Genomic DNA, 12,084 nt, shown 5'->3' with positions numbered 1-12,084 from the left:
TGTAACTCTGCTGACCTCAGACCTATATGGCCATGGCTGTTCTCAGCTACATGTTGGGAATTCTGTTACTATAGAAAAAAAAAAGGATTGATTTGGGGGATAGCCAGTAGTTTGCTACAGTCATCAATTTTCAGATAACTCCTTTGAATGATGGACGAGACATAGACTCTTTTGTTGCAAAGCTATTGCAGTGTGCCTCCCTCCAAAACTGCTCCATTTATCAGACTAGCTGCACCATCATGACACACTGGTATGCCTAAGCAAGGAAAGGCTGTGAGAGTAGAGCTACTGTGTGTAGTAACCCCTGACCAGTTGAGTAAGCAGGGCTGTCCCTCCCCCTGGGAAACTCCCTTGCTGATGCCTCTGCTGGGTCTAAGAGTGTTACCTTTTTCCTGTAGACCAAAGACTCTGCTTTGATGACCATAAGCCCCAGAGGTTATTCCATGGTGTAAGAATGTCCTTGTCTCACTCTGTCTTCTCTATGGCCCTGATAGGTGAGCAATCTAGTAGTGAGTCAGAGACTCAAAGCTCCCAGGCAGTTTCAGCTTTGGAAAGGAGAGAGGGTTTCTCCAACGCTGAAACCCAAAAGGAGTAAAGTAAAAGAAAGGGGCTACATGGCAACTTGGAACTTTTGTGTGGATTTCTGAGGTCACTCCAAGAAATAGGTTATGTCAACAGGAAGCTTGGGGGTAATTGATCCAGCCCTCTTCTTGGGTCATTTTGGAATGAGACTCACTAACTGCTAAAGCTATAGAGAATTCCTGAGCAGGGACTTCCCAGAGATTTTCCTTCACTACAGAGGAAAGAACGAGGGGCTCCATACTGAATGGATTAGAATCCCACCTTCTGTTTACCAAACTGCAGGATATGCTTAATATCCTGGCATGAATAGGCCATCACTTGGCGGCGGCAGACAGCACCTGTTTATGGTGTCTAGTCTGTTCAAATGAATTCAATGACGCTCTAATATCAAGTAATATAAAAATACCAAAGGTATGGATGTTCAATATCTCAAAGATCAGCTGAGAAATGAATCAGTATAGGGGGCCAAACTGAAACAATTTCTATTGAGAGAGAATGAAACAGAAGTGAGTTTGTTTTTGCGTTATTAGCAGAAATTGTGATATATTACTACCAAATTATGATTAAGTCATAGCAAAAAAAGTATTTGAGTTGAAAAATATTAATTCTCCTTTATGAAAAAACAAAATATCTTCTAAACATAGATCTACAAACTATAGAAACTTTGAGATTTAAGCAATCTCACAAAAGTTGATTTTAGTGATTGTATATAGTACATGTGTGGTGGCTGATATATAATGTTCACACACACACACACACACACACACACTACAGGGTACAGGACAATAAAATCTTAACAATGATTTTAATTACGAAACTCTTCCAAATTCCAATTTAGGTCTCTGGTCAGGGAACATTAGGACATCCTTTTCCTGTTTCTGCCTTGTCCAAAAGCTGGGACAAACTCTTGGAGGGGGTCCAGGATGTCAGGAAGAAATTATTTTAAGTGTTGTTATGTTTGGGAGGGGCAGCAAGGCAACATGAATTGAGCTCTATATCTACATCCACGTATAGCAAAATAAAGCATGCCCCGAAAAGACTCTGCTTTGTTCATTTCTGGCAGTGGGCAAGGGAAATTGCACAAATGTCCTACACAAAACCTTAGTCACTCCTTCCTTCATTCCCTTAGCACGGTATATGTCCCTCCATTAGCACTTACCTCATTCATTACACTGTAATTATTTGCTCACAGGCCTGTCTCCAGCATTGGCCTGTGACATGGGAAAGAGTTAAGAATACTAGCCCCGGAGCCAGATTGCCTGGATTTGAATCCTAGCTCTGCCATTAACTAATTTCTGTGACTTTAAGCAAGTCCCTTAACTTTTCCAAGCCTCAGTGTCTCCATCTGTAAAAGTTAGTAATTATCTGTTTAATATGATGCCTGTGAATGTTTTAAGACAAATGAGTGAAAACTACATCCCATTTTAAGGCACATCTTGAATAACTGTTAGCTGTTCTTAGTATCACCATCTAGAGATAAACTGCATCCTTTTCATCTTTGCATCCCCAGCCTTCATAGTGTGGCTAACTCCTGAAAGTCTGTAAGTTGAATGAACTAAAGAATGAGAAAATGTGGTGGAGAAAAGGCAATCCCCTCCAACGCCCTTAATTCACTCCTCTCCAAAGCAGCAGAAAAGCCTGGTAAGTTTTGAAAGAATAGGTATGTGTGGCCCAGCCCCACCCGGCTTCCTCTTGAGCATAAGCTGCCTTCATGGGGCCCTTGCCAGACTCTACCCTTCCAGCTTTGCCCTGGTGAGTAATAGGCCTACCCCTTTCTTCCCCATCTTCCCCTGGGGGACCAATTGCCCACAAAAAGCAAACACTCAAGGCTGGGTACAGTGGCTCACATCTGTAATCCCAGCACTTTGGGAGGCTGAGGCAGGCAGATCACTTGAGGCCAGGAATTTGAAACCAGCCTGGCCAACATGGCAAAACCCCACCTCTACTAAAAATACAAAAACTAGCTGGGCACAGTGATAGACGCCTGTAATCCCAGCTACTTGGGAGGCTGAGGCAGGAGAATTGCTTGAACTCAGGAGATACAGGTTGCAGTGAGCCAAGATTGCACCACTGCACTCCAGCCTCGGCAACAGAGCAAGACTCCATCTCAAGAAAAAAAAAAGTAAACACTCTCTACTTTCCTCCAGGAATAGACTCTCCCTGACATGGTTTGGTGCCATCTGAGACTGGGTAGGAAAGACTGATGAATTCTGGGCTCGGCTAGTAGATTTATAGGTCCTTACACTAAGCCATTCCTCCAACCTAACTTGACCAATCACTAACATGGTATTTTGGCTTTCATCTGCCAGTCATTTGGATCATTCCCCAGTATGTTCTGTTTCTTGGGCCCTCTCCAAAACTCTAACAGTGGCTTAATAACAAGAAGTATTTTTTAAGATTTTTAATTTTTCAGAATTTTAATACAGGGCTGCTCCTGGGAGAAACTGAAAGTACCCAGATTTCTGGAGGACTAACAGTCGAAAAAATAGGGTACTGGCATTAGCTGGGTGCAGTGGCTCACGCCTGTAATTCTAGCACTTTGGGAGTCCGAAGCAGGTGGATCAAGGTCAAGAGATCGAGACCATCCTGGCCAACATTGTGAAACCCCATCTCTACTAAAAATACAAAAATTAGCTGGGTGTGGTGGCGTGTGCCTGTAATCCCAGCTACACAGGAGGCTGAGGTAGGAGAATCACTTGAACCCAGGAGGCAGAGGTTGCAGTGAGCCGAGATTGCACCACTGCACTCCAGCCTGGTGACAGAGCGAGACTCCGGCTCAAAAAAAACAAAAACAAAAACAAAAACAAAAACAGGGTGTTGGTTGTTCTCTTTTTGCCTGTCCAGATCTATTTTTAGCTCTTCTCTTCTTTGCTGCCTCTCAGGAGTTGACCACCTTGGACCGCCTCATCTAGGCTTTCTTGCCTTCTGGCTTCCAGCTGGGCTCCACCAATTGCAGGAGATTCAAGGGTGAAAAGAGAGAGAGACCAGAGTATTTGCTCTGTCTACTCTTTCCCTAAGTGGTTGCATTCCTCTACTTATGTCCACAGCTCCTCTTGGATGCCCCTCTCCCAGGGCTACTGTTCTTTCTGGGTCTCTAACACCACTCACTCTCCTTGTCCCTGCAGGCCTAGGAGCAGAAGTAACAGCTTCCCAACATTGCTAGTCCCCTAGGTGCTTTATCTTCTTTGTTAGTCCCCTTAATCTTGCCTGCAGCCCTACAAGGAGTCCCTTTGTTGAAGTCTATTTCTCTTCAATAAAACTTTTGACTGTGCCTTCTCTTTCCCACTTGGACCGTGATTGAAATAACTGATGAAGAATGACAGGAAGACCCTTTTGGGGATGGACACATAGGTCATGCAAAGCCCAATGTCAATTCACATTTGTCTCATCCAGAAAAACTACCCTTATTTTTATTACACCTCATCTAGTAGCCTTCTGATAGTTTGACCTTCCATGTTGTTCTAGCTAAAGACATAGAAGACTTTGGTCAAATCATCCCTATATACAGAGTCTTGTGAGAGTTCAATATCTCTTCTCAAATCAATAGATACTAAATGGAAAGTCAAAAGGAAGTGGTTGTGACAGAATTAACTCCGTTTACTTTTAGTTCTCCAGAAAAAAAAAAAAAAATCAGCTGGGCGCAGTGGCTCATGCCTGTAATCCCAGCACTTTGGGAGGCCAAGGCAGGCAGATGACCTGAGGTCAGGAGTTCGAGACCAGCCTGACCAACATGGAGAAACCCCATCTCTACTAAAAATACAAAATTAGCCGGGCGTGGTGGTGCATGCCTGTAATCCCAGCTGCTCGGGAGGCTGAGGCAGGAGAATCGCTTGGACCTGAGAGGCAGAGGTTGCAGTGAGCCGAGATCGCGCCATTGCACTCCAACCTGGGCAAGAAGAGCAAAACTCCGTCTCAAAAAAAAAAAAAAAAATCACAAATTTGAAGGGGTGGCATTCTAAGATGAAGAGCTCTAAGATCTGGGTTCAAAGATAAAGAATCTGAAGTTTAACAGGCACAAGCTTCTGAGAATACAGCCACTAAGTGAGCTTGGATACAGACTCAATTTTTATAGTCTAACTTTCTGATCTATTTCCATCTGCCCCTTTATATTTTAACATGCATGACTATTGACCTGTGTTTACAAATGAAGGCAATTTCTCACAACCTAAAATTTTAATACAAGAATAAATTCTCACTCAAAGGATAACATCAGTAAAGATTAGTTCATTGAGGCTGGGTATGATGGCTCATGCCTGGAATTCCAGCACTTTGGGAGTCTGAGGCAGGAAGATCACTTGAGGCCAGGAGTTCAAGAACAGCTTGGGCAACATAGCAAGGCCCTGACTCTAAAAAATAATTTTTCTTTAATTAGCCAAGCATGGTGGTGCACACCTGTAGTCCTAGCTACTTGGGAGGTTGAGGTGAGAGGATCACTTGAGCCCAGGTTACAGTAAGCTATGATGGAGCCACTGCACTCAGCCTGGGTGACAGTGCAAGACCCTGTCTCTCTAAGACACAAACAAACAAAAAAGATTACCCCATTGAGAGAATTCTAAAAGGCAGCAGCTAAACAGTAATTACTCTTCTATAGAAAAAGTGGAAAAAAAAAAACTCAACCACCTTGGTCTAGCATTCCAAACCTTTTACAATCCAAAGCCATCATACTTCCTACACTCTCTGACATCAAAAACACACCATGCTTCTTCCTGCCATTTGGCCTTTGCTCACTCTGTGACTCATAACCTAAAACACCTTCCCCGTCCTCTCCATCTATCCCACCTGATTCCTCAGATGCAATCCCCATTCCTCCACGATGCTTTTCCAACCATGGCAACACATGATGTTTTCTGTTCTCTGAGTATCTCTGGCACTTACCGACATCATTTACTGAATTACATGACACTCTATTCTTTGACCATTTCATTGTCTTCCTCCAATTACATTCCTGGGGTAATTCTTGGTGATTTCAGTATCCTTCCAATAACCTGGCCTCTGCTGTCTTTTTATTTACACCTATTTAGTTGTCCTTTACAGCACTTTAGCACCTAATCCCTTCTTGTCATTACCATTATTACCATTAACTGAACCCCCTTCATAATCTTAATTTCAAGTATTTCATCCTCTAATCACAATCTGCAATATTTCAGATGACTCTGACTATAACCCAATGCCCTCCAGTTGACAAAGCCTACCATCTTATCATCACCTCTCAAGACCTTCATGTTCTTGTTTTTCTCCTTAACCAGCTTAAAGTCCAATATTCATCATGATACTCATTAACCTATTAGGTACACCTTTAATTCCCTGTACCTTCTCTACCTCCTTCATGCTCTGCCTATTCTGTACCTGTATTTGAACATGGCTGGGAACAAGCATAGAATCACTCTGACTGTTCTTAATTTAAATTGTGACTTTTCTTGTTGACTCTTTCTTAAAGCATTCAATTTGGGTTTTGTAGAAACAATAATCCTCTTTTCTTTTGCATTAATATGCTTACCTCTTATTTCATTAAATAATAACTTAGTAACAAATGCAACTGGTATAAATAAATTTGGGAATAAACCAAGTTTACTCTAAGTAAGCATAAAACTGAAGAGAACAGAAGCGTAGGGTATAACAGTGAGTAGCCTACTAACATAGAGTGTGCAGAGTGCCATGGACCTCAGCGGGATGCATTAAAGAGGATGTGGAGAACCTCTTAATCTGGCAAGTCAATTAAGTGAGAGTCAGTTATGAAAATGTCTACTGTACATGTATCCCTGAAACTATAGATTCTGTAAATTAAAATCTGCAGGCTGGGCGTGGTGGCTAATGGCCTGTAATCCCAGCACTTTGGGAGGCTGAGGTTGGCAGATCACGAGGTCAGGAGGTTGAGACCAGTCTGGCCAACATGGTGAAACCCCGTCTCTACCAAAAAAAAAAAAAAAAAATTAGCCGGGCGTAGTGGTGTGCGCCTGTAATCCCAGCTACTCGGGAGGCTGAGGCAGGAGAATTGCTTAAACCTGGGAGGCAGAGGTTGCAGTGAGCCAAGATTGTGCCACTGCACTCCAGCCTGGGCAACAGAGCAAGACTCTGTCTCAGGGAAAAAAAAAAAAAATCTGCAAATAAGCAAAAAATGATTTACCTCTTACCACTTCATTTCCAATACAAATAGTCGATCTGGGGCTATATTTGTTGGGTTTATAGTAAGGCTATTGAGAAGCCTATCCATTTGCCTCAAGCTTCTCCACCATTTGGTAGTCATGGTACCATTTTGGCTTCATTCAATAATGGTCATTTCCTAGTTGGTGTTGCAGTATAAATATCAAGCTCTTTAAGATAAAGTAGCTTCACCCAGAAGTAAATTACCTCCTCTACAAAGCATGAAGATACAATTAAAGCCAGTGTCTCTCAATCATTTGTTTTCATTATTGTTGTCCCTCTAAAAAACATTTTCAGACATTTTTTAATTGCCCCCCACAAAATTTTAATATCATATAAACTATGTATCTGTTTTATATATATAATATATATATATATGTATCTTTATACATGAGAAAGTAAGATTACATATACTCACAACCAATTTTCACTTCCTTGGGGGTGACATAGCCCCTGTTGAGGATGCATGACTCATGGCATATGAAGTGCAACCTGTTATAAGGTTCTTATTTGGCTGTCCTCCATGGTTGACAAGGTAAACACAAACGGGAGGCTCATTTGGGGAGATGGAGGTAGTCTACTTTAATGGTGAAGCTGTGAGTAGTGACCCATACTTCTATTTTTTTTTCATTTCTTTTTTTTTTTTTTTTTTGAGATGGAGTCTCACTCTGTCACCCAGGCTGGAGTGCAGTGGTGCGATCTTGGCTCACTGCAACCTCTGCCTCCTGGGTTCAAGCAATTCTCCTGCCTCAGCCTCCCAGGTAGCTGGGATTAGAGGCATGTGCCACCATGCCCAGCTAATTTTTATATTTTTAGTAAAGACAGGGTTTCTTCATGTTGGCCAGGCTGGTCTCGAACTCCTGACCTCAGGTGATCCACCCACCTCAGCCTCCCAGAGTGCTGGGATTACAAGAGTGAGCCACCGCGCCCAGCTCACTTCTTTTATTCTTTCTTTCTATCTCTCTTGCTGTCTTTATTCTTACCAACTCAGCTCTCATATTTTTATTAAAATGGTAAACAATTCAACACCAGACTAGGAATAAAGGAGACAGTATTTTCAAACATTTTACAATATTAAACAACAGTAGCAAATATGCCTTTCCTTTTCAAATTATTAGCAGTTTCTTTTATCTGAGAAGTAAAATATCTGTGAATACTATTATCCAGTGTCATCACACCATTTCATGTGCCCTCTCACCTTCATACTTGTTTATTGTCAGTAGCATATATATCATGTGTATTAGCAGCACAGTTCAGAGATCCACGATAGCATTCAGAAAAAAGAAAAAAAATCAAAAATGAGAAAAATATGGAAAGAAAGGGAAAGAACATTGGGTGGGGAAGAGGAATCCTGATTTATATCCAAAAATTTCAAAGGGAACTATGAAATATCAACTTAATAGTAGTTTATTGTCCTACTATATTAAGGAGGTCAGTTTGTTCCTTCAATGTTCATCTTCTAATACCAAAGAGTTATTTTCTTAGATCTGGAGCCAAAAAAAAAATGTGTATCCTGTTCTGTGTATAATTATTTCATAAGCTTCTAAGAGTAGTCTTTCTGACATTTGGAGAGCAGTGCAAATTTTTGTTACTCTTATTTTCTATCTCTATATCCATCTGTCATCTCATTTGCTTCTCTGGTTTGTTTGTTTGTTTTCATTCTTCCATTTCCCTTTCCTGGTATATCCTCTCATACTCTTAATGTGCAGGAATAACACCCCTGATTATAGACGATGGTAATTAGAGCTCTAAAACTTCCGTGCAAAATTGGATTCTGACTTGCGTGATAGTTATCAGGATGACGAGAAAACAACTTTGGGGAAAATCAAAGTACCACTAATGATTAGCTGGTGTTTGCCCAAAAAATGGGTTTTGCTATTAACAGTTGGGCCAACCTAGGCAGCTAAAATACCTAGAATGAATGCAATTTATTTGCTTTTCCCTGTAGAAATTATGCATCTTGATTTTACAAACTCAATTACTGCAAGAAGCTAGAAGGGAAAAGAGGAAGCAAGCATAAGACACATTTCTTATAGGCATCCAAAAACTTGGCAAAACTTTAAATTTTCCTGCCATTTTCAACTCAAATCTTTTATTTCAGTATTTTTACCTACATTGTTTCTTTTGATAGAATTAGGAATCAAGTATTTGAGTGATTATTTATATAAAGTTTGTCTTCCTCCATCAGACTGTACACTCCACAAGAGCCAATGCCTTGTCTATTGTGCTCACCATTACATCCCCATGACAAACATGTGGCCTGTACATGGTAGACGCTCAATGCATTAGTGTTATTGAATAGACTGGATGGGAGATTCGGTTAGTTGTGCAATTAAAGAGATTGGATGGGAAGAATAGTTTGATATGACACTTTTCTCGATGCAAAATGATGCTGTGAAAACAACTGTTATTTTTATTCATTCATCTTGATTCCTTTATTTATTCATCCTAGAGCTATGTGGTGCCTGAACAAAGACTATTAAGACAGTCCCTGGCTTTTAGTGACTCATAGTCTACAGAGAGAGACAGACATAAACCAATAAGTCATAACACAGTGAGAGATGAGAAATAATAAATATCAAGTCAAAGGAGAGAGAAAAATAGCAATCCAATTGTCTCTTGTTGAAATCAGAGTTGTATCTCAGGCAGGCAACCGTCTAAAGTAGAAAAAAATAAAGGACTTAGAACTGAATTTTTGTTTGGTTTTGCTTTGTAATGGGATCATTGAAAATGAAGCCAAACTAAACTGGGGGCTTTGTCCATCTAACTCTATTCAGGTCTTTGTTTAAATATAACTCCTTCAGAGAAATCTCCTCTGATCCCTTGCTGCACACACCCGCTGGGTTAGGTCCCCTCCATGCCCTTTCACTTGACTGAGAAGTCCATAAGGCCAAAGAACATGTTTGTCTAGTCCGCTAACTATTGTATCTCCAGAGACTAGAACTGTCTCTGGCACTTAGTAGGTGCTCAATAAATGTTTAATGAATAAAGTTTCCCTTGCAATGTATTTACTTTTCTTTTTTCAAACCAATTTATCTCACTTTTCCACTCTACAAACAGAAAAAAAACTTCTCCTCTCCAAATAATCTTCTTTGCCTTTTCCTTCAAGATGACTATTTTTCTAATGTTTCAAGACATTATCATTCAATAACTGGAAGTAAATTACATTTTGTATATCTACATCCAGTAGGGAATTGGACCTGAAGAGATACCTGAGGCGTCTTCCTCCACCCCTGCCGAGCATCCTCAAAGACTAGGCCTGTTTGTAGACTCCCAGTTTTCCCATGGGGTTTCTCCACACCTCATATGCACAGTTTCCACAAGATTTGGGCTGAAGAAGGGAGACTTTCTCTTGGAGAGTGAAGTGTTCTCAAGGGAACAATGAAAAGTCAGCATTTACTATCTGTGCCCGAAATTAATTCTTACCCTTTGCTTTCAGGAAAGCGAGGAGGAGCAGCACAAAACCCCAGTTTAAGGCTTGATGTGCTTCAGATATTTAGAAACAGAAATTTAAGAAAGACCCTGAAAGAGCTTCCAGTCCTAAAGCAACAAGTTCTGAGGTCAATGGAGCCTGTGTCTGGTGCTTCCCCAGGCCATCTGGCAGCCAGAGAGAGATATTTTAAGTCATGGCAAGGCATGTGGCAACCTCAAAAACCACACCCTTTGAATGTCAGCCTCCTCCACCAACATGGGTTAAGTCTGACATGAGGCAAGAAATAAAGGCCAGGCCATGAGGACATCAGCCCCACTGAAATGCTGTTGACTTTCAAAAAAATATATGATTAGTACAAGTTTCTTATTCTTTTATTTACTAAATGTTCTGCTGAAAACTGGAAAAGTCAGTCAAATTTGGATGTTTCCAGATGTCCAGATGTGTCCTAGATACAGCCTAGATGTCAAGAAGAAACTTGAATTGATTTAAATATGGGGTATTTTTTTTCACTGTAGAAATATCTCTTCTGAATTATACACAGTCTTTCACATGACCTGGGAGGAAAAAATAAAATATAATTACTGAGGAGGGATATGGTTGATGCTCACAAATATTGGCTAAAAGTAGACATAGGACTAGAAAAGAAAAGTTTAAAAGTTTCTTTTAATAGTGTCCTTTTCTCACACACACACATTAAAATGATTACTAAAAGAAAATATGGGGACTTTTCAGCTGGGATGTCTTGTTTAGAGCGGGGATTGAGAGGTGAAGCCAGCAGGACTTCCTTGGTCGAGTGGGGACTTGGAGAACTTTCCTGTCTTACAAGAGGATTGTAAAACGCACCAATCAGCACTCTGTAGCTAGCAAGAGGATTGTAAAATGCACCAATCAGCACTCTGTACAACGCACCAGTCAGCGGTCTGTAAAATGCACCAATCAGCAGGATCCTAAAAGTAGCCAATCGCAGGGAGGATTGAAAAAAGGGCATTCTGATAGGATGAAAACAGAACATGGGAGGGGCCAATAAGGGAATGAAAGCTGGCAACCCCAGCCAGCAGCTGTAACCCACTCGGGTCCCATTCCACGCTGTGGAAGCTTTGTTCTTTCACTCTTCACAATAAACCTTGCAACCCTCAAAAAAAAAAAAAAAAAAAAAAAGGAAAGAAAAGAAAAAAGAAAAGAAAAGAAAACATGGGGACTTCGTAAAAGTGTATTAAATACATACTTGCTGTTTTCTTTGGAACAGATGTTACATCATTATGTACCAACTGTAACAACTGATGTAACTGAAATCTCCTGGAATTTCCTGTTGATTCTTATTTCATCTAGAAATAAGGATTTCTCTTTGTTTTTTTTTAGCTAAAATAATTCACCTTTAGGGGAGGAGTACCACCTTCTGAGGTCCCGAGTTGATGGCAGCAGACAGAACATCTCTGGATGACCTGGTTCTGGTACCAGTCCTGCTACATATTATTCACCAGAAAAATAGACCAAAGTTCTCACCATAAAAAAAAGAAAAAAGAAAAAAAGATAAGTATGTGAGGGAATTTATATGTCAATTATCCTGCTTTTGCCATTCCACAATGTATACATATATCAAAACATCATGTTGTACACCATCAATGTATACAATTTTTGTCAATTAATTAATTAATTGAACTAGATCAAAGAATTGCTCTAAGATTCTTCTTCTTGCCAGTGTCCCACAATTCTTCAGTGCCCCCACAATTATTTTGAAGACAAATCAGGGAAGGACTGGGTCAAGGGTCTGCCTAAATACACCGTGCAGCTAACTGTTCACTGGAGTTTTAGAGCTTGCTCTCAAAACTTATGAGCCAGATACTACTTAGCCCAGGGCCTGGTGGCTAGGCTGGTTCTCTCATTTCTAATCGAGGGCCTCTGTTGCAAACATGCTCTGCTAGATCCTC

At 40.7% G+C, this 12,084-nt stretch overlaps 1 annotated feature.

Moving 5' to 3' along the window:
- Positions 361-410: an enhancer, noted in NCBI's record as "active region_17012". NCBI's record gives its function as "activates an Ori minimal core promoter by ATAC-STARR-seq in GM12878 lymphoblastoid cells {active_cell/tissue: GM12878}" and the evidence as "EXISTENCE:reporter gene assay evidence [ECO:0000049][PMID:35858748]".

This window comes from Homo sapiens, chromosome 2 (genome assembly GCF_000001405.40).
Source record: "Homo sapiens chromosome 2, GRCh38.p14 Primary Assembly".
In the NCBI taxonomy this organism is placed as follows: Eukaryota; Metazoa; Chordata; class Mammalia; order Primates; family Hominidae; genus Homo; species Homo sapiens.
Note: the sequence above shows the minus strand (reverse complement) of the source record. Positions and strands in the feature narration are given on the sequence as shown.